Genomic DNA, 20,406 nt, shown 5'->3' on the forward strand with positions numbered 1-20,406 from the left:
AGTGCTGGAATTACAGGTGTGAGCCACCCTGCCCACCCTTTATTTTGATTTCTAGTTGCTAATATCTCAGCAGAGCAATGTTTCTCTAAATTGAAACTAAAAAAGAAAAAAACAAACAAAAAACACCCCAACACAGATATAGGAGAGGTTGTCTAATTAGGCATTACTGTCAGTAGAATACAAATTATGTGAGACTTGATTACAGCAACACAATTATTAATTTTGCTGAAATCAAGGCAAGAAAAATAAATTTTACAGGATAAAGATATAATTTATACCTTATATGCTCTTTGTTTTCTTACTCACCCAACATTACTGGCCCTTTAACAGAACACCCATATGTGTTCAATACTAATTAAATTCAGTCACCTTTGACATCTTGCCAACTCTCTCTGTTTCAAAAAATTTAAAAATAGTTGGTGTTTTTTTCTTTGAGTTAGGGTCTTGCTCTGTCACCCAGGCTAGAGCGCAGTGGCACAATCATAGCTCGTTGAAGGCTTGATCTACCGGGCTCAGGTGATCCTCCCATTTCAGCTTCCCAAGTAGCTGGGACTACAGGTGTGCACACCACCATGCCTGGCTAATATCTTTTATTATGATTTGTAGAGATGGGTCTCCCTGTGTTGCCAGGCTGGTCTCAAACTTCTGGGCTCAAGGGATCCTCCCTCCTCCACCTCCCAAACGGCTGTGATTACAAGTGTGAGCCACCACACCTGGCCATATTTTTTAACATTGCCATTATGAAGATATATATTGTCAATGTAGGAGGATGATAGATTTCTTGCCAACTCATTCCATGAGAAACTCTGTTTCTTTTCCATGTGTTCCCCTATTTTACTTAGTCTAGATGAGATGTTTTTTGTTCCTTGTACTCAATCTAAAGGAACTGTGATGAAGACATGTAAGTGGAAGGTGAGATGGTGGAGGTGGAGAGGTGGTGGCTGAGGTGGAGATGACGAGAATGGCAGTTGGGACTGTCTTCATGCCCATCCTTGCCTCAGTCCAGAAGACAGAGCAAGCAAGGCAGGGAGGCCAGCAGGCAGTGAGAACAGATTTGCTCTAGCCCTGCCTGAGCCACATAGGGGCGGACAGCTCTCCCTCGAGGTTAAAGCCCCAGCTCTACCATCTGCAAGCTGTGTGACTGTGGGTGAGTTATTATACCTCTCTCTGCCTCTGTTTCCTCATGTATAAAAGTGAGCTAGTAATAACACCCACCATTTCACATAGGATTTTGTAAGAAGTCAGCAGGGCACTGAGTGTGAAGCACTTGGCATAGTGCCTAGCATATAGGGAACAGTAAATGTAGTTGGTTTTGTTATTCTGACACTATGCTGGAGACTCCGTGAGAGCAGAAATCTTATCTTATTCACTTTGTTCACTAGCAACACATAATTACTCAGGAAAAAAAATGCTTAGGCTGGGCTCGGTGGCTTATGCCTTTAATCCCAGCACTTTGGAAGGCCAAGGTGGGAGGATCACTTGAGGCCAGGAGTTCGAGACCAGCCTGGCCAACATAGCAAAACCCCATCTCTACAAAAAAAATACAATAATTAGCTGTGTGTGATGTTGCACACCTGTGGTCCCAGCTACTTCAGAGTCTAAGGCAAGAGGATCACTCAAGCCTGGGAGGTCGAGGCTGCAGTGAGCCGTGATCACACTACTGCACTCCAGCTTGGGCAAATGAGCAAGACTCTGCCTCAGAAAAAAAAAAAAGAAGAAAAGAAAAAAGAAAAAAACTTAATGGCATCTTCCTTCCCATTCTCCCCCTGCCCCCTCCTCCGTGAGTCTTGGGCGGTGGGTGTGGGGCCTGGCTCTGCCCAGAGGCCACACCCCTCAGAGGGAGCGCAGGCACTGGGGCCAGGCTATTGTTGTGGCTGAGATTCTTTCCGAAACGGAAAGCCCTGAATTAGAGGACGGCTGCTCTAATCTCTGTGGGGGGCTTCTCCTGTGGCCTTGGGGCCTGGCAGATGCGCCTACCCTCTCCCCAACTCTTGTTTCAAGAAACCCCAGTCCCCTCCCTGAGCCCTTCCCTTCCCCGAGCTCCCATCTTTTCTCTAAGTCCCCTCGAGCCCCTTCTCTCAGTCTGAGCCTACCCATCTATTCACAAACCCCATCACTTCTCTGCACCCCATCTTCTCTCTTATGCCCTCCCACCTTCTCTCCCGCTCCTCCCTCTCTCACTCTCCGCGACCCTTCCCTGGCCTCTTGCCCTCACTGAGACCTGGCGCCTGCAGTGCTCTCGGCCCAACACTCTCTCTGTCTCCCCCAAACCCAGTCAAAAATCCCTTCCCAGTAGGGCTCAGATACCCCTCCTCTTTGAAGCTTCCCACCCCACCCCGGGCAGAAGAGGTCACCATCCCCTCTGCTGTGTTCATCTTGGTTGCAGTAGCACTGGTCTCTCACCAGTCGTGGTGAAGCTTCCTGCCTCTGCCACCAACTGAGAGCAAAACCACGTTGGATCCATCTGCAGACCCCATGGCACAGTGCAGGTGTTCTCGGTGATTTGCTGCCGGCAGCTGTGAGCAAGACTGGGATTAGGAAAAGAGATGCGGGCCAGAAGTGCAGCAAGGAGTTGGTAAAGGGCGAAAGCTGAAGTCAGATTCATCTAACTTGCACCTTGCGGATTGCAGGCCCCACATTCCAGAGCACCTTGCGGTTGGTTGCAGGCTCCACTTCCCTGCATCTCCAAGCCACACAGGAGCTGGGTCTCACCATTCCCGCCTGACACAGAAGGAAACTCAGAGAGGTTAAGTTCTTGCTCAAGCCCACACAGCCAGCGAGAGGTAGACTAGGGCTGGAATCAAAGGTAGGGCTGAGGTGTGGGGGCTGTAGCCAGCTAGTGAAGGGGGTGACACACGTTTCCTCCGTGACAATGTGGGCATGGGATGTGAGACTGGATCTGAAGGCCTCCCTGACCTGGCTGGTTATTCCCGACACTGACCAGAGCTGCTCCCCCATCCTTCCACCACCCTCTCCTGGAAGGAGACGTTCTGACTCAGGCCCATTCCCGATCTCCATCCCCAAGGTGATCTGGGAATGAGGCAGGAAGTAGGAAGGAAACACCCCAAGACTCGCTTCCCCCTTGCCTGAGGTCCTGGCTCTAGGGCCGGAAAGAGCTACTTTAAGGTAGTCCCAGGGGACCCACAACCAGAAACAGGGACGGTCCGGTTCATGGCGAGGGTGGCTGGGAGCCGAGGCCAGATAGATGCAGCCCACCTCATCTTCTCATCCGCCCCCACCTCCCCTCTCCTCTGCTGACTTTTTCAGGGCCCCCTTACCCAGAAAGCCGATCCAATTTGACCTCTCCTCCCTGACCCTGCGCTGCCCACAGGGTGGAAGGTCTGTGCCTGTCTCCCAGGATTCTGTCCATTGGCATCAGGGTAGGGGTCTGTTGCCCTCACACTGACAGCTCCTGAGAGCAAGGCTGCTTAGCCCTCCCCCAGCCCCCACCAGAGATCCCTGAGGGCAGAGCTGTGCCACTTCTGTCTCACTGGGGGCTCCCAGAGCTGGGGCTGTCTCCCCTCCCTGACAAAACCCTCCCGAGCAGAGGTGGGGGCACTTCCGACTGAGGGCTTTGGCGTGGAGGACTGAGTCACCCTTGTCAGACCAGAGCTGCCCCAGGGTGTCACCTGCGTTGCACCCTGAGTCCCCTCTTTCTGTAGTCCAGCATCTGTCCTCGATCCCTAGAAGGGAGCTGTGAAGGGGCCCCTACCGGTCCTACCACCCAACCTGGATGCTCCTTTAAGACCAAAGGGATGGGGGTTGCAGAGTCAGACACAACAGCCCCATCCTCCCCCCAGGCGGCGGGCCAGGTTTCCTGCCATTGACAGCATCCCAGCTGGCCCTGCCCACCTCCCATGCTTAACCCCTTCCTGACCAGATCTCAGAGCCAAGCTGGCACCCTCAGCCTTCACCTAGAAAGTTAGGAGAATGAAAGTGACTTTTTTTGTTTTTCTTTTTTGCAGCTTTGTCACCCAGGCTGGAGTGCAGTGGTGTGATCTTGGCTCACTGCAACCTCCGCCTCCTGGGTTCAAGTGATTCTCCTGCCCCAGCCTCCCTAGTAGCTGAGATTACAGGAGCGCACCACCACGCCCAGCTAATTTTTGTATTTTTAGTAGAGACAGGGTTTCGCCGTGTTGGCCAGGCTGGTCTCCAGCTCCTGGCCTCAAGTGATCGGCCCGCCTTCACCTCCCAAAGTGCTGGGATTACAGGTGTGAGCCACCTCGCCCGGCCCGAAAGTGCCATTTCATCGGGTTGTTTTGAGGATTAAATATGTTAATCCTTATGTGAGGTACTTAGAATAGCCCCTAACATATATTAATCTCTCAATAAAAGTTAGCTATTGGCCGGGAGAGGTGGCTCACACCTGTAATCCCAGCACTTTGGGAGGCCGAGGCCGGCAGATCGCAAGGTCAGAAGTTCAAGATCAGCCTGAGCAACATGGTAAAACCCTGTCTCTACTAAAAACACAAAATTAGCCAGGCACTTGCCTGTTATCCCAGCTACTCGGGAGGCTGAGGCAGGATAATCGCTTGAACCCAGGAGGCGGAGGTTGCAGTGAGCCAAGATCACGTCACGGCACTCCAGCCTGGGTGACAGAGTTTGGTGAGCTTGGATAAGTCATTTCTCCTCTCTGAGCCTCAGTCTCTTCAGCCGTAAGTGTGAAAAATAATAAAACCTCCCCCAAAGATTGTCATGGGGATTATGACAAAGCAGCTAATGGCATTTTGAAAAGTGCTGTAGCAACAAAATATGGAACTATCACCAACAAAATCCCCCCTTTAGGTAATAAAAACCTTTTACCGGGAGATGGGCCTTGGGTTTTCAGACCCACTACTGACTTGACAGGCAGAGGATGCAGTTCCAAATGTGGATTTGGAGCTGGGCTTTGGGCATCTCTCTCCCCCCTCAGCTCCTGTTTCCTTACTCATTAAGTGGGGGGTCATTCCTGCTGGACGCCTGTCTAGGGTCCTTGTTTGGGGGCGGTCAAAGGAGATCAGAGAGCACAGACGGGAATGTGCTTTGCAAACATGAAAGAGGGCTAGAAAGGAGGAGGAGGGACTTGGGGAAGGTGGCCAGCCAAGGGGGGAAAGGAACCTTTGGCCTGAGCACTGGTCTTAGTCTGGGCTGGAGAGTTTAGTTTGCCTGCTGGGGAGAGGGGAGGTGTCTCCTATGAGGTAGGGTTTCACCTTGAGACATAAGGTGTCAGAGAAGAAACTCTGATGGAAGAAGCTCTAAGAGGCTCCAAGTGTGGGCAGAGAAGGAAGCGGGCCAAAGGACCTGGGCTTGGCCCTGGAATCAGCCCCTCATCACTGTCTTCCCAGGCAATCCCATCTGCCATGAAAGGACCTTGGCAGAGGCAGCTCCAGTGGGCTCCAGGGTCACCTTCATGACAAGACTTGCCGCCACAGGCTCACCTGCACATCTATAGCACCAATGCCCCCACCCTTAGGCTGCAGATTCCTGGTCTCGCCCCCAGGGAAAGCAGGCTTGACACCACCCAGCACCCAGACCAAGACAGGTCTCAGCCTGCTACAGAGGGAAAAAAGCAAGTTGACTAGAACCCTGTTCTGCCTTCCCATTCAGACTGTCAGAGCATCTGCCACAGCCCAGGGAGGGGGCTGATCCCACATACGGAGCCCCCACCCCAGGCCTTTGGAGGAAGCCTGGGGATCAGGAGGCCTTGTTTGGAGTCCTGGCTCTGCCCAAGCTCACAGTGCTTCCACAGCCAATCACCTAACCGGGCTGGGACTGTTTGACCATCTGTAAAATAAAAGGAGCTGGACTTGGTTCACAGGTCTCCACAGCGCAGGACTGTGATCAGGAAAGAGTTAATGGAGGCCAGGATCTGCCTCAGGAAGGCGAGGGTTAATTTGGGGGGCGGGGGGTGGAGGCTTTCTCTGCTTTTCCTGTGGAGAGTGAGGTTTGGCTGCCACCAAAGTTACTTCTAGTCCTTGCTGTCCACTCCTGCCCTCAGTCTGGACCTGCCCAAGGACCCCTGCAATTAGGCCTCCCATGCAGAGGTGAGTGTACCCTGAGCCCAGGGCTGGGGTAAGAAGGAACCCAGGGGCCTGAGGGCAGGGAGACTGGTGCCAAACTAGTGAGCCTAAAAGATGGCCCATGCCCAGAGCAGAAGCCTTGGGCAGAGTTGAGACCACAAGTTTCAGGACTGGGAGAAGGCAGGCAAAGGAATGGAGGGCCCGAGGCTGCCTGCCAGGCTTCTAGGGCGGGATGTCTGAGGTCCGGCCTCCAGGCTAGCCCAGAAGGCAGGGAAGAGGCTGTGGATGACAGACTATTTTGGTCCTTGTGATTAGGAACTTTTTATAGTCTCCCTGCTCAGGGCTGGGGAGAAGAGGAGAGGACAGAGGGCACCCATGGGGTCAGACAAGCAGTGCCTTCCTGGGACCTTGGAATCTGACCCACTGCCAAGGAGACTCCCTGGGAGACAGGGAGGGGGACACTGCCAGACTCTCCTTGGTTCCCAGGCCTCAACTACCTATGAGCAGACTGACTACACACTAGATGCTGGGTGCAGGGGTGGGCTGGACCTGGCAGGGTCTCTGCCCCAAGGCCTCTCACAGACTCCTTCCCCACTTCCCTGGCTAATTCTGTTCCTTTGTTGTCCCCAGATCCAAGGTCCCTCAGCCTCCAGGACTCAGGGGGAGTAGGGGAAGATAGGGGTGGGGTCGGGTGTGCAGGGCCATGTGGGTGGCCCATTCTGTTACTGCCAAGAGAACTGTCAGCTCTTGATTTACAACCCCTCCTCGCTCCTTGCCCCAGCAGAAGGGAGGTGGAAAAGGGTCATGAGGTCTTAGGATAAAAAAGGGACAAGGACCCTGGGGGCAAATTTCTGGGAGTGGGAGCGCAGGTTATTAGGAAGAATTAGTGGAAGGAACTTTTTAGTGAGGCAAGGGGCCCATTTCTAACGGAAATTGCTTGGTTTTATAGCAGCGGGAATACACGCAAAATATCAGTGAGTTCTTTTTTTTTTTCTTTTTTTTTTTTTGAGACGGAGTCTCGCTCTGTTGCCCAGGCTGGAGTGCAGTGGTGCGCGATCTCGGCTCACTGCAACCTCCGCCTCCCAGCTTCAAGCGATTCTCCTGCCTCAGCTTCCCAAGTAGCTGGGATTACAGGTGTGCGCCACCCCGCCTGGCTAATTTTTGTATTTTCAGTAGAGATGGGGTTTTGCCATGTTGGCCAGGCTGGTCTGGAACTCCTCACCTAAGGTAATTCACCCACCTCGGCCTCCCAAAGTGCTGGGATTACAGGCATGAGCCATCGCGCCTGGCCTCAGTGGGAAGTTCTGATAGGCAAGTGAGAGATCCAATCTGAACTGCAAGGCAAGAAACCTGGGTGACAAAGCAAGACTCCGTCTAAAGAAAAAAAAAAAAGAAACCTGGGTTCCAGTCCTGGCTCCTAACTCTCAATAGGACCTGAGCAAGCCCCCCTCCTCTCCAAGCCAGTTTCCTCTTCATGAAATGGAAATGCAAAGGTTAAACAAGGTGATGTTTACAGTTTGGCATTCTGCGATCCCCTTGGCAGGGGCAGAGTAGCTGGCAGTAGCTGATAGGGCCTGGGGACCACCTCCCTCTCCTGCCCCGATGGCCCTGCTGGGCCTGGGCAGGGCAGTTGGCTGCAATTACTGGAGGCTCCTACCCTGTGGTTATATCCCCGACCTCGGTGTTTGGGGGCGGGAAGGGTGGGCCCTGCTGGAGCCAGCCTGTGGCTGGGAGCCTTCTTGTCTTGGGCTCAAAGCTGCTGGGTTGGGAAGAGGTATTTTTTCCGGTTGAAGCCACTTTCAGGAATTGGGCCGGGACCAGCCCTGTTTCCTTTTCCAAGTGTCCTGCTTGCTAAGGCCTGCTTGCACGACCCTGTGGCCAGATTGGGGCACCTTCAAAGGGGAATATGTTTCTGAGTGGCCAGAGAGACCCCACTCAATGTCTCTGAAGGACAGGGAAAGGGGATGGCCTGAGCCTCTGCTCCCTGGATGTGGCACCGGCTAACCTGGATGGGAGAGGGTGGCTGACTGATCCTATACTGAGGAATGCCGGCAGGAGAGGACCAGGGGCATTTCCTACCCTTCCCCTGACCTTCCTCTCTCCCTGCAGGTCAGTGAGAGCCCAAGCCAATTGCTCTAGGCCCCGTGGCTGGCTACTTATGGGGCACTGTCCTGACCAGCTCTGCTAAGATGCTCCTGGCCCCTCCCTCCACCCCGTCCAGAGGACGGACCCCCAGCGCCGTGGAGAGGCTGGAAGCCGACAAAGCCAAGTATGTCAAGACGCACCAGGTGATAGCTAGGCGACAGGAGCCAGCCCTGCGTGGGAGTCCTGGGCCGCTCACGCCGCACCCCTGCAACGAGCTGGGGCCCCCTGCATCGCCCAGGACGCCCAGGCCGGTCCGCCGGGGAAGCGGCAGGCGGCTGCCGAGGCCTGATTCCCTCATCTTCTACCGCCAGAAGCGGGACTGCAAGGCTTCGGTGAACAAAGAGAACGCCAAGGGCCAGGGTCTGGTGCGGCGCCTCTTTCTGGGTGCCCCGCGGGACGCTGCCCCGAGCAGCCCGGCCTCCACAGAGCGACCTGCGGCTTCAGGGGGTTGGGCTGCGCCCCAGGATGCCCCGGAAGCGGCGGGAAAGCGGGCGCTGTGTCCCACGTGCTCGCTGCCCCTGTCGGAGAAGGAGCGCTTCTTCAACTACTGCGGCCTGGAGCGCGCGCTGGTGGAGGTGCTGGGCGCAGAGCGCTTCTCCCCGCAGAGCTGGGGAGCCGACGCCAGCCCGCAGGCCGGAACTTCGCCGCCGCCCGGCTCCGGGGACGCCAGCGACTGGACATCCAGCGACAGGGGCGTGGACAGCCCGGGCGGCGCGGGCGGCGGCGGCGGCTCGGAGGCAGCGGGCTCGGCGCGGGACCGGCGCCCCCCGGTGTCGGTGGTGGAGCGCAACGCGCGCGTCATCCAGTGGCTGTACGGCTGCCAGCGCGCCCGCGGACCGCCGCGCGAGTCCGAGGTGTGACCGCCGCGGCTCCGGACTGGCCCCGGGACTGGCCCCGGGCACGGAAAAGGACACCCCTCTTCTGGCGCGCTGGGTGCCTTTGCGTAAGCCCTTCCTTCTGGAACTCAGTTTCGCGTCTGAACCTTGGGGAGGTGGAACAAGTTGCTGCCGAAGGCCCTTCCCTGCTCCCGCGGCGAAGGGGGAGGGAGAGGCCTCTTGGTCCCTGTGGAGACCCGGTCTGGGGAGTCACGATTGGGGTGGGAGATGAGCAAACCTGCTGAATAAAGTTAAAACGTTATTTAAATGGGGAGCTGAGGAAGGAGCAAACGGGTTTTCGCGGTTAAACCCGTGGGTTTTGGAATGTGTGTTCCCGGCTGTGTGATCCTGGGCAAGAACTTGACCTCCCTGGACGCAGCGGCACCCCTCGGTTATTAAGGAGGGAGGAGTAGGGGATAGAAGTATTTCAAAATAGTTGTAATGCGCATGGCAAAGTGCCCAGCATATAGAAAGTGCTCAATAAACGATAACTGCTGTGACTTCTACCGAATGAGTACTAACACTGTTGTGATCTCCACTGGCCTCCAGGTCGATCCAAACTAGAGCTGGGAGCTGGGAATAATGCGCTTTGGGAGCCCGAGGAGGCGTCTGCTCCAGAAATCTGGGCTCCACCAGATCCTAAAAGGCCCCATTCCCGGAGTTTTGCTGCCCCAGTTGTGGTCACTGGGTATGAAGGGCTGAGATCCAACCTTTCGGACACAAAAAGAAGGGAACCGGGCCGGGCGCGGTGGCTCAGGCCTGTAATCCCAGCACTTTGGGAGGCTGAGGAGGGTAGATCACGAGATCAGGAGTTCGAGACCAGCCTGGCCAACATGGGCTCTACTAAAAATACAAAAATTAGCTGAGCTTGGAGGCGCGCGCCTGTAATCCCAGCTACTCGGGAGGCTGAGGCAGGAGAATCGCTTGAATCCCAGAGGCGGAGGTTGCAGTGAGCCGAGATCGAGCCATTGCACTCCAGCCTGGGCAACAGGGCCAGACTCCGTCTCAAAAAATAAAAATAAAAATAAAAAAAGAAAAGAAGGAAACCTTTCCTGCCAGCCGGCAGGCTCCTGCCACTGCCTCCCTTTCCTGCAAGGACACACAAGTTCGCCTATTTTCATCACAGGTTCGCACCTCCAAGCCTGCATCCTTCATGCACCTCCTTCCTTTGCCTGGGTTGCCGTTCCTTTTCTCTCTGCTCTTCCTTCTCTTTTTTTTTTTTTTTTTTTTTTTTTTTTTTGAGACGGAGTCTCGCTCTGTCGCCCAGGCTGGAGTGCAGTGGCGGGATCTCGGCTCACTGCAAGCTCCGCCTCCCGGGTTCACGCCATTCTCCTGCCTCAGCCTCCCAAGTAGCTGGGACTACAGGCGCCCGCCACTACGCCCGGCTAATTTTTTGTATTTTTAGTAGAGACGGGGTTTCACCGTTTTAGCCGGGATGGTCTCGATCTCCTGACCTCGTGATCCGCCCGCCTCGGCCTCCCAAAGTGCTGGGATTACAGGCGTGAGCCACCGCGCCCGGCCCCCTTCTTCCTTCTCGGAGATAACGTATATTCTCCTCCAGGAAGCCGTCCTGAATGCCCCCAGTCAGCCTCACCTGCTCTGAGCTCCCAAGTACAGTCCTATTTTTGGGCCTCAATTTGTCACCTTTTGTGGGACCCGCTGGTACTCTGGGTTCTCTAGTTAATCTTTGACCTTTTTCCTAGTACAGGGACGGCGCACATAGTAGGGCCACAGGCACAGTTTGTTGAATTAAATGAGGCTGGAGAGGGCGATGGACGCAGTCCTCTGGAGCTCTCCAACTTCCTGGAAAGTTGTACCTTAAATAAAAAACCCATCCTGATATGCGGGCTGACTCTGGTCATTTTCGCCTTGTATGTTTGATGAGGTGAGGACCCCTCCAGCTGGACCCCGCCCGAGGTCGACCCCCGCAAAAGCAGTCTTTCTGGATGTCTGGACAAAAGCACGCGGTCACACAGGCTGTCGGGCCAGGGTTTTTTATCAGGGGTGGGAGCAGCGGGCGCGGGGTTCTGCCAGCCTGCTAGTCACCCTTGGGCGCAGCCTTCACCCTCATCTCGGCCAGTTTGTGAGTGAGGAAGCCCCACTTGAAGCCGGCCACCGGCTCGGCCTCCTGCGACTCGGGGCGCTCTGCGGCCTCCTCCGCGGCCTCGTCCGCGGGTTCGGGGTCCGGCTCCGGAGTGGGCTCGGTGCCGCGCAGCATGGACGCCGCCGCGGCCTGCTGCTGCTGCCACCTGCTGGCGAACGCGTCCCAGAAGCCCGGGCCGCGCGCCTCCGCCGCCGCCGCCGCCTGCGAGGGGGGTCGCGCCGCCAGAGGGCTGCGGGAGAGGGCCGCGGTCAGGGAAGCGGCCGGGCGGTCCCGCGGAGGAACATCGGCTGGGCTGACGGAGGAGTTTAGTGGGGCCGGGGGAACCTGGGCGGAGTCAGGGGCAGTGGTGAGGAGCGGGGTCAGGTGACCAGTGGGGGACCGGGACGAGGAGGAGGGTCAGGGCCTGGAGGCAAGGGGAGGGCTCAGAGGCCCTGGGAAAGGGGTCTGGGGTGGGACAGGGTCAGGGGATTAGGCGAGGGATGTGGAGGGAGGGGACCGGGATCAGGATCCCTGGGGAGAGAATGAGGTCAGGGTTTCAGGCGAGGCTCGAGGAGGGACGCTGGAGGCGTGCGCAGGTCTGGGAAGCTGGAAGGATCCCTGGGAAAGCAGGTGGGAGCGGGAGGGCTGTTCAGATCCCCCCTGAGGGAAGCCCTGGGGAAAAGAGGCGGGGCACAGACAGGAATCAGGTTCTGAGATTGAGGGAAAGGGGGACTAGGAGCACGGGAGAAAGGTGGAGCGACAGGAAGGCCTAGGTCAGAGGCTTAGGGGAGAGCGCGGGACTCAAGAGAAGTGGGAAGATGTTGGGGGGAAGGGCAGTCACGGAGAGGTGATGAAGCTTGAAGTGGAAGCCTCAAGTCCAGGAAGTTCCTTGGGGAACTGGGGTTGGGGGTGGGGGAAAAGAATGGAAACCTGGGGGCGGGAGAGGCTGATGGGTCATGGGGACCCTAGGAGAAAAGAATAGGGTCAACGGTGAGAGGGGGATGTGATCAGGATGGAGAAAAGGCAGAAATGGAGAATGTGCCAGAGATAGAGCCAGGAGGGAGACTGAGGTCCCAGGTCCCACCCGCTAATCCTTGGCCTCAAAGACCTCAGACGGTGGTTCCCAAAGCTGCAAGCTGCAGGGCCCTGGGGGAGCTTGCTGAAAACATGGCTAGATCCCCAAGACTCTGCCACACCAGCGAAATCGGAGTCTCTGAAGGAGGGTCCAAGAATATGTTTGTGACACGCTTCCTTGGAGGGTGAGGGTTTAGGCAATATTTGAGAACCTTTGAGTTGGATCAGCTGTTGCAAACACCTAAAGGTATTCTGCGTTCTTGGATTTTAGAGAGATGGCCCCTCCCAAGCGGATGGGTCGTGAGAGCCCATAAATACCTTCTAGCACCTCAATCCCAACAGCTGGTCGATTCCTCCTGAGATTTACCCTAATCTCCCAGATATGCTGATTTGGCCTGTTTCCTGCTGAGAGAAACAGAAACAGCCTGGGACTGCCCCTCCCCAGCCCTCAGTGGTTAGAAAGACAAACAAACCAGAAGGAAAGGACCAGGCAGAAGGGGGACCTCAGGCCCCTTCCAGAACCACCACAAACACACACGCACATACTGGTCAGCGCAAGGCTCTGATGGCAGCAGCTTATCTTCATCTTCTTTGTTAAACAGAGATGACATTGTCAGCCAGCCTTTCACCCCGACCCCCTGAACCTGGGAAAGGGGTTGGGAGTCAGGGAGGGGGTCCAGCACAACCTCCCAGGACTCCACAGAAGCCTCTGCCAGGCTGCCCAGGGTTGGGGTGGAAGAAGGGAGAATACTCACCCGGCGGGCCAGCTGTGACATGGGATTGAAGGTCTCCTCGGTCGGTTCTGCTGTCTCAGACCCCACTAATGCTGGGTTCTCCCTCTGGGACACAAGACCCCCACACAGCATGAGAGAGGCCGCAGAGGAGTGAGATCTCCCTCCTCCACTGCTAGCCTAGTACACACAGACCAGGCACCCCAAATCCCACAGAACTAAACACACACCTATACACTCCACAGATCCACAAGGGCACATGGGAATGCATACAGGTATACCTGCAGAGTAAATCCCTGCAGACACCCTTTTTTTCCTTTGTGTGTGCGTGTGTGTGTGTGATGGAGTCTTGCCGTGGGGTGCAGTGGTGCGATCTCGGCTCACTGCAACCTCTGCCTCCCATGTTCAAGTGATTCTCCTGCCTTAGCCTCCTGAGTATCTGGGCCTACAGGCACCCACCACCGCCCTGCTAATTTTTGTATTTTAAATAGAGATGGGGTTTTGCCATGTTGGCCAGGCTGGTCTCGAACTCCTGGCCTCAAGTGATCCTCCCACCTCGGCCTCCCAAAGTGCTGGGATTACAGGCGTGAGCCGCCAGTCCGAGCTGCAGACACCCTTGAGCACACATACCTGCCCACCACAGACACATCCATATACACCCAAAAGCACGTGGACATGGGCATGCACTCTGATGTAGACACACACCTGTACATGAGCATGCCCCCACATGGCTACAGCTCTTCACCTGTACATAGACATACGTGTTGTGAAGCACCTATACAAGGACACACACAGTTATATCATTCACACCTGTGCACTTATACAACCACAGACAGCTGCACAGAGGCCTATCCACAACACACAAAACCTCTCCACCCAACCACAGATACCAAAACACATACACCATACAAACAACACCTGCAAATGTCTACACAGAGGCATGCAGGCAGACTGCTACCCAAAATGTTCACACCTTCACATACACTTTCACTGGGGATTCCACCCAGATACTGATCACACCAGTTACCCACTGACATTTCTGCACAAGCCCAGCCTTAGACACCAACCTCTCCAGACATTTAAGAATTCAAACCATTCCCCGCCCCTCTGAACCGATTCCTGCCTCTGCCACATTTTGTGTGATTGTGTGACTGCCACTTATCACAGCCTCCAGACATAAGACTGTCCCTGGTTTCAGAAACTTTGCTGTTGTTGTTTTGAGACAAAGTCTCACCTGTCACACAGGCTGTAGTGCAGTGGAGCCTCGACCTCCCTGGGCTCAAGCAATCCACCCGCCTCAGCCTGAGTAGCTGGGACTACAGGTGTGTGCCACCATGCCTGTCTAATTTTGTATTTTTTTGTTGAGATAGGGTTTCACCATGTCACCCAGGCTGGTCTCGAAATCCTGGGCTCAAGTGATCCTCCTGCCTCAGCCCCCTGAGTAGATGGGATTATAGGTGCCCACCACCATGCCCAGCTAATTTTTGTATTTTTAGTAGAGGCAGGGTTTCGCCATGTTAGCCAGGCTGGTCTCGAACTCCTAACCTCAGGTGATCCACCCTCCGTGGCCTTCCAAAGTGCTAGTATTACAGGCAGAAGCCACTGCGCCTGGCCTGTTTGTTTGTTTTTGAGATGGAGTCTTGCTCTGTCGCCCAGGCTGGAGTGCAATGGCTCAATCTCAGCTCATTGCAACCTCTGCCTCCCAGGCTCAAGCAATTCTCCTACCTCAGCCTCCCAAGTGGCTGGGATTACAGGTGCACGCCGCCATGCCTGGCTACTTTTTTTTGTATTTTAATAGAGACTGGGTTTCACCGTGTTGCCCAGGCTGGTCTTGAACTCCTGAGCTCAGGCAATCCACCCACCTCGGCCTCCCAAAGTGCTAGGATTACAGGCATGAGCCACCGTGCCCGGCCCAGCCTGTTTTTTGTTGTTGTTGTTTGTTTGCTTGTTTTTTGTAATGTCAGAACAAAGCATGGTCTAAGTATGGCTTTGATCTGATGCTGCTGCAGTGACCTTTCTAGTACAGGCGCCACTCCCCCTACCTCTAGTAACATGGGGCTCACTACATCACTCCTACTTCTGCTCCCATTAGAAAGTTGTGTCCAGCTAAGTGTGCCCGTGTGCCTACTGCCCACTGGTCCTAGAAGAATCTCTTCCATGTGGCAGCCTCGAGATCTTTGGAGACAGTGGCCACTCCTCCCATGGTCCCTAAGTCTTTTCTTCCTCAGTTTTCTTGAATGTCCTGGCTTTCTGATGCTGCACCATGGTTTTTACCATCCCTGAATGTGGCATCTGCACAAATGTGGCCCCCCCACCTCCAAGCCTATCCTGTGCCCCACTTCATACTGCTCATTCCTGCTGCCCCTCTGCACATGCTCCACCCACCATGCATGGATGGCACCCACCTCCTCTGCCAGGTCTTCTTCAGATTCCCCACTCAGGGTCTGTAGCACTTTGGACTTGTAGGTTTTCCAGAAGGCCTGGTTCATGGCTGCAGGGGGAAGGGGCCTGGCACGCAAGCACAGGAAGGTGGTGGCTCAGTGGATACCAGTGAGTCTGGCTCTAGGAACTTGGTGAGGCCAAGAGCCTGTCCGAGGGATCCAGTGACTTCATTAAAGATGCACCAGCCTCCCCAGCTGGCACAGTGCCCAGGAGGTGAACCTGATCCAAAGGAGTCGGGGAGTGGGGGATGGAACAAGCTTCTGCCACCTTAGCCCCTTGTCTTGACCCATATTGGCCAAGAATAATGAAGTCATTTGTCTCTAGAGAGGCTTTCTTCCTGGGCCTAGGAGTACTTGAGTTGTTCATCTCTTAGCATGCCTCCAGGAAAATCTTCTTCCATTCACAAAATCCTGAGGTCTGGGACCCACACTGGAGCCCCTGTGACTGTAGTCATACTAGTTGTGTCCTCAGCAGGGCTCCACCCTGTGTCCCTACTTAGCCTCAATGAACTGGAGCAGGAAGGTCCGCAGGCCCCCAGTGGGCACCTTGGGCTTACATTTCACTCCTTTGTCTGGGCTGGAAACTGATTCCTCTCCCCAGGGATACACGTGCCTGTCTCCTTGTTTCCTGGCAACAGACTCCAAAGAGCTGGAGCCCCTGAATTATTGCTAAGCTCCTCTGGCCCCTTCCAGCTGAGTTGGCTCTGGCCAGCCTGGGAGGCACCAGGCTCCTGTGAATGGGGAAAGGCCCTCTAGCCACTCTGAGCATGCAACACCTAGGCCTTTGCTGCCAGCCCACCTCTGGGAGCCCAGGGCTTAGAGAAAGGAGGCAAAGATGGAGAGGTCCTTCTATGAGTACTTGTGAGAGGAACTGATCCCTCTGGAGTCTGGATGCCTGAGGACTGCACTCTCTGGGGAGGAACACCCTTCACGGATTTGGTTGGGGTCAGAGAGAGGATGGAGACTCAAGGGAATAACGGGAGCCCGGAGAAGTGAGGGCTTTTTCAGGGACTGGAGATTATCTCGGGAAGCCCTGGTGGGGCTGGGATTCCAAACTTATTCACTCTCAGTCATTTACTAATTTATTCATGACACAGACATTTATCAGTGCTTTCCAGAGATAAAGCATCCCACCCCCACCGCGGAGTCCAAGGTCTGGGAAACAGGAAGGGATGACAGGAGTACAGGTTGGCACTGATACTGGTTGGACCAGGCCAGGAAGAGCAGGGCAGCAAGACGGCCCCGAAACCCCCAGGCGCACGCACCACCCCGCGCCTCCCCAGCGAGGGCCCGCGGGGCCATGCCCTTCAGTGGGCACACTTCTGGGAGCCCGTCCTGAGCTCGGTCACTGACGTCGACGGCCGCCTGGCGGCGCTCGAGCCGCTGGCCGAGAGTGACGTCATCAGAGGCGGTCCGGCCGAGCCTGCCTAGCCCCCCGGCGTGGCCTGACGTAGCTGATCGGCCCGGAAGTGCTCACACGTGTGCTCCCTGCCCTGCTCCTGGCCCCTTGGCCGGCCGGGCTGTTTCTGGCCATGGGTCGCTCCCGCCGGACAGGCGCGCACCGAGCGCACTCTCTAGCCCGGCAGATGAAGGCGAAGCGGCGGCGGCCGGACTTGGATGAGATTCACCGCGAGCTGCGGCCTCAGGGATCCGCACGACCCCAGCCCGACCCAAACGCCGAGTTCGACCCCGACCTGCCAGGGGGCGGTCTGCACCGCTGTCTGGCCTGCGCGTGAGTCCCGGACGAGCCCGGCCTGGGGCGGAGGAGGGTCCGCGGTACCGGCCGGGAGATGTGAAGTTGAAGCCCCAGGCAGCGCAGAGTCTTCTCTCTTGGGACCCGTGGGTCCGCCCGCCTCCCGTTTCTCAGACCCGGATCCTGGCGTCAGGGACAAGCTAGGGCTAGGGAGATAGGTGCACTTGGGAGACTATCACCTCCTCACTCTCCTTCTCACTTCCATTCCTACAGGAGGTACTTCATCGATTCCACCAACCTGAAGACCCACTTCCGATCCAAAGACCACAAGAAAAGGTATGAAGGAGTAAGGAGAGGATTGATGGATGGGTGCTCAGCAGATAGGGCTCTCACCTGGTCAGCTCCCAACTCCTGTTTTTCTTTCTCCCAGGCTGAAGCAGCTGAGCGTCGAGCCCTACAGTCAGGAAGAGGCGGAGAGGGCAGCGGGTATGGGATCCTATGTGCCCCCCAGGCGGCTGGCAGTGCCCACGGAAGTGTCCACTGAGGTCCCTGAGATGGATACCTCTACCTGACATGGCCTGAAGATGCAGGGCAGAGGAATTGCCCATGGACAGTGACGCAAGGACTAGGCTGGGAGGGAGCGTGCCAACCCCTTTTGCCTCTGGGTTTGGGGAGCGGAGGGCCTCTTCTTGGTGCCCTGCCCCAAATAAAGGAACTGGACAAAGAGAACTTGCCTCCAACTCTAACTTCCAGGCCGCTGTCTCAAACTCCTGCCCTGGAAGGGCTTCTCTACTACTTTCTGTACACCAGGCCTAGGGTGTCTACTCCCCACTTGGTCTATCTCTGCCTTCCCTCTGAGGTCCTAGCATCTGAACTGGAGCACCCAGATGGAGGCCTGATGCAGTGTGGGGTGGCGGGAGTGGGATCAGATTACTCTGTCCTGCTTCTGACAGAGACTGATCCCCAGAAAAGAAGGCTTCTGAGATTGCACCCCCCTCCCGAGTCACCTACCCCCAGCATCCAAGTGAGAGTCTCTCTTCTTCGTTACGGGGCCCGTGGCACCCGCCGCTGCCCCACCATCTTCCAGACGGCATAGCAGGAGCCACCCAGGCCGAGGACAGCTAGCACTGTAGCCACAACTCCTGCCAGCAGACTCCGGGGCTCTGCCTTCAGCTCACCAGCTACCTGCATCTGGAGGTGCACAGAGGGTGTGCCTCAGGGGTCAGTTGAGACTGCCAGGAAGGTGGGGAGTGGGAAAGGGCTGAGTAGATGTAGCTAGGGGAAGGAGACATGGACGCCGGTCCTGCCCCAGGGAGATTCCACCCCAATCCCTTTCGCCTCACTGCCCATCTGGGCCTGCCTGCTCAGGCGGCAGGGAACGTGACAGCCTGGCTGTTGGGGGTGTCAACCCAGCTATGGTAGGGGGAGGAAGGGGTCAGTCGTGCCAGAAACCGTTGATCAGGGGTACTTACCTGTAACACCCGGAAGTAACCAGGGGTCAAGCGTCGAAATCGCATGGTGGGCGGCACTGGTCTCCCTGGCGGCCTGTAGGGTGGGAGCGGACGTGAAGACCAGTGGTCTTCATGACACCAAGAAGTGGAAACTAGGGTAGAGGGGTCTCTGACCTTCCACATACGCAAGACCCAAGCTCTCAGAGGATGCTCACCCGCGCCTGCCTGCCCAGGTCTGGCAGGGGGCGGAGCAACTGGACCTTTAAATCTGGTCCCTTCCCCCACTGCCTACCATCCTGCCAGCCTTAGAAGCAGCTGTCAAAAGAGATCAGCATCAGGCTTGAGCGGCACCTCCCCCACTCTCCGAGGAGGCGGGTCCGGTTAGGCAGGAGAGGCCTTGGCTGGCAGTGCTCAGGAGTCCCAGGCCTGGACCAGGTACTGGGCGGGCCTCCCTCAGCCCTGGTCCAGGCCCCATCGCTACCTTAGATGATTGGATGCCACCAATCAGCATTATCGAAGGAAGGATGTGTTATTAGCTCCCACAACAGTATGCCTTTTCCATTTGATTTCTGTGAAATCAACCGCCCCTACCTCAAGGGAGGGCACATATAACCCTTTTTTTTTTTTTTTTTAAGACAGAAGTCTCACTCTGTCACCCAGGCTTGAGTGCAGTGGCATGATCTCGTCTCACTGCCACCCAGGTTCAAGCGATTCTCCAGCCTCAGCCTCCTGAGTAGCTGAAATTACAGGCACCTGCCACCGCGCCCAGCTAATTTTTGTATTTGTAGTAGAGACGGGGTTTCACCATATTGGTCAGGCTGGTCTTGAACTCCTGACCTCATGATCCCCCCGCCTTGGCGTCCCAAAGTGTTGGGATTACAGGTGTGAGCCACTGCGCCCGGCCAATTTAACCCATTTTTTCAAGACAAAGTTTCTTCAGGGACTTCCCTGCCCTCAGCTTGAAACAATAATAAAAGCATATCTGCATATACCAATTAAGGAAGCTGCCCGTGATACGTTAAAAATAGTAGTCATTGTTCTAAGCACTTAACTTGTATTATTTCATTTGCTATCGATTATCTCTTAAATGAAAAAGTATGGCTGGGCAGCACTTTGGGAGGCTGAGGCAGGCAGATGGCTTGAGCCCAGGAGTTCAAGACCAGCCTGGGCAACGTGGTGAAACCTCATCTCTACCAAAAAAAAAAAAAAAAATTTAGCCAGGCATGGTGGTGCATGCCTGTAGTCCCAGCTACTCAGGAGGCTGAGGTGGGAGGATCACTTGAGCCCAGGAGGTGGAGGCTGCAATGAGCTGAGGTTGCACCATTGCACTCCAGCATGGGTGACAGAGCCAGACCCTGTCTCCAATAAAAATAAAAAAGAAAAAGTACAATTTGCAGAATAGTATGTAGACTATCTGCAGATATAGAAAATAGAAGAATATCCCAAATTTAGTAGTGGCCCCCACTGGGGAACATGATAGAGACACACTGGGGAAAGGGCACATCCTTCTTTCACTTAACCTATTACCTTTGAAATGTATACAGCAAATATGTAGAACTTTATATTCATAAAGCTTTTTAAAATAGGCTGGGCATGGTGGCTCACACCTGTAATCCCAGCACTTTGGGAGGCCAAGGTAGGTGAATCACTTGAGGTCAGGAGTCCGAGACCAGCCTGGCCAACATGGCAAAACCCTGTCTCTACTAAAAATAAAAAAATTAGCTGGGTGTGGTGGCGCACACCTGTAATCCCAGCTACTTGGGAGATTGAGGCACGAGAATCACTTGAACCTGGGAGGGAGAGGTTGCAGTGAGCCAAGACTGCGCCACTGCACTCCAACCTGGGCAGCGGAGCAAGACTCTCTCAAAAAACAAAATGAAACCCTTTAAAATAGAAGTTGTCAGCCGGGCGTGG

General features: G+C 55.5%; 4 protein-coding genes across 5 annotated transcripts, besides 8 other annotated features; 2 read left to right on the plus strand and 2 right to left on the minus strand.

Annotated features, from left to right (window-relative positions):
• Positions 1,331 to 2,060: an enhancer, noted in NCBI's record as "H3K4me1 hESC enhancer chr1:26480925-26481654 (GRCh37/hg19 assembly coordinates)". NCBI's record gives its function as "activates a minimal SCP1, AML or CMV promoter by ChIP-STARR-seq in naive and primed H9 embryonic stem cells {active_cell/tissue: H9 hESC(naive and primed)}" and the evidence as "EXISTENCE:reporter gene assay evidence [ECO:0000049][PMID:30033119]".
• Positions 2,061 to 2,790: an enhancer, noted in NCBI's record as "H3K4me1 hESC enhancer chr1:26481655-26482384 (GRCh37/hg19 assembly coordinates)". NCBI's record gives its function as "activates a minimal SCP1, AML or CMV promoter by ChIP-STARR-seq in primed H9 embryonic stem cells {active_cell/tissue: H9 hESC(primed)}" and the evidence as "EXISTENCE:reporter gene assay evidence [ECO:0000049][PMID:30033119]".
• Positions 2,791 to 3,520: an enhancer, noted in NCBI's record as "H3K4me1 hESC enhancer chr1:26482385-26483114 (GRCh37/hg19 assembly coordinates)". NCBI's record gives its function as "activates a minimal SCP1, AML or CMV promoter by ChIP-STARR-seq in naive H9 embryonic stem cells {active_cell/tissue: H9 hESC(naive)}" and the evidence as "EXISTENCE:reporter gene assay evidence [ECO:0000049][PMID:30033119]".
• Positions 3,521 to 4,250: an enhancer, noted in NCBI's record as "H3K4me1 hESC enhancer chr1:26483115-26483844 (GRCh37/hg19 assembly coordinates)". NCBI's record gives its function as "activates a minimal SCP1, AML or CMV promoter by ChIP-STARR-seq in naive H9 embryonic stem cells {active_cell/tissue: H9 hESC(naive)}" and the evidence as "EXISTENCE:reporter gene assay evidence [ECO:0000049][PMID:30033119]".
• Positions 5,976 to 10,859, plus strand: FAM110D (family with sequence similarity 110 member D). Its single transcript, NM_024869.3, has 2 exons — positions 5,976 to 6,023; positions 8,109 to 10,859. Exon 2 carries the CDS (start codon positions 8,189 to 8,191, stop codon positions 9,002 to 9,004), a length of 816 nt encoding a protein of 271 aa, NP_079145.2. The 5' UTR covers positions 5,976 to 6,023; positions 8,109 to 8,188; the 3' UTR covers positions 9,005 to 10,859.
• Positions 10,860 to 10,997: 138 nt separating this feature from the next.
• C1orf232 (chromosome 1 open reading frame 230) lies at positions 10,998 to 15,860 on the minus strand. Of its 2 annotated transcripts, NM_001364669.2 has the most exons (4): positions 15,313 to 15,860; positions 12,932 to 13,015; positions 12,723 to 12,820; positions 10,998 to 11,352 (listed from the first exon to the last, which is right to left on the minus strand). In NM_001364669.2, exons 1-4 carry the CDS (start codon positions 15,394 to 15,396, stop codon positions 11,058 to 11,060), a joined length of 561 nt encoding a protein of 186 aa, NP_001351598.1. In that variant the 5' UTR covers positions 15,397 to 15,860; the 3' UTR covers positions 10,998 to 11,057. The 2 variants fall into 2 exon arrangements, with proteins under 2 accessions (NP_001351598.1, NP_001351596.1); NM_001364667.1 differs by lacking the exon at positions 10,998 to 11,352 and having other exon boundaries at positions 12,605 to 12,820; positions 15,313 to 15,479.
• Positions 11,164 to 11,733: an enhancer, noted in NCBI's record as "H3K27ac-H3K4me1 hESC enhancer chr1:26490758-26491327 (GRCh37/hg19 assembly coordinates)". NCBI's record gives its function as "activates a minimal SCP1, AML or CMV promoter by ChIP-STARR-seq in primed H9 embryonic stem cells {active_cell/tissue: H9 hESC(primed)}" and the evidence as "EXISTENCE:reporter gene assay evidence [ECO:0000049][PMID:30033119]".
• Positions 11,189 to 11,388: a silencer, noted in NCBI's record as "silent region_474". NCBI's record gives its function as "represses an Ori minimal core promoter by ATAC-STARR-seq in GM12878 lymphoblastoid cells {active_cell/tissue: GM12878}" and the evidence as "EXISTENCE:reporter gene assay evidence [ECO:0000049][PMID:35858748]".
• Positions 15,186 to 15,341: a silencer, noted in NCBI's record as "fragment chr1:26494780-26494935 (GRCh37/hg19 assembly coordinates)". NCBI's record gives its function as "represses an EF-1alpha promoter that drives an FKBP-Casp9 reporter gene in an ReSE screen in K562 erythroleukemia cells {active_cell/tissue: K562}" and the evidence as "EXISTENCE:reporter gene assay evidence [ECO:0000049][PMID:32094911]".
• A 557-nt stretch (positions 15,861 to 16,417) lies between the features above and the next one.
• ZNF593OS (ZNF593 opposite strand) lies at positions 16,418 to 18,729 on the minus strand. Its single transcript, NM_001395468.1, has 4 exons — positions 18,667 to 18,729; positions 18,514 to 18,586; positions 18,053 to 18,232; positions 16,418 to 17,495 (listed from the first exon to the last, which is right to left on the minus strand). Exons 2-3 carry the CDS (start codon positions 18,556 to 18,558, stop codon positions 18,086 to 18,088), a joined length of 192 nt encoding a protein of 63 aa, NP_001382397.1. The 5' UTR covers positions 18,559 to 18,586; positions 18,667 to 18,729; the 3' UTR covers positions 16,418 to 17,495; positions 18,053 to 18,085.
• Positions 16,575 to 16,674: an enhancer, noted in NCBI's record as "active region_481". NCBI's record gives its function as "activates an Ori minimal core promoter by ATAC-STARR-seq in GM12878 lymphoblastoid cells {active_cell/tissue: GM12878}" and the evidence as "EXISTENCE:reporter gene assay evidence [ECO:0000049][PMID:35858748]".
• ZNF593 (zinc finger protein 593) lies at positions 16,805 to 17,770 on the plus strand. Its single transcript, NM_015871.5, has 3 exons — positions 16,805 to 17,080; positions 17,315 to 17,377; positions 17,472 to 17,770. Exons 1-3 carry the CDS (start codon positions 16,881 to 16,883, stop codon positions 17,611 to 17,613), a joined length of 405 nt encoding a protein of 134 aa, NP_056955.2. The 5' UTR covers positions 16,805 to 16,880; the 3' UTR covers positions 17,614 to 17,770.

This window comes from Homo sapiens, chromosome 1, assembly GCF_000001405.40.
Source record: "Homo sapiens chromosome 1, GRCh38.p14 Primary Assembly".
NCBI classification, from domain to species: Eukaryota; Metazoa; Chordata; class Mammalia; order Primates; family Hominidae; genus Homo; species Homo sapiens.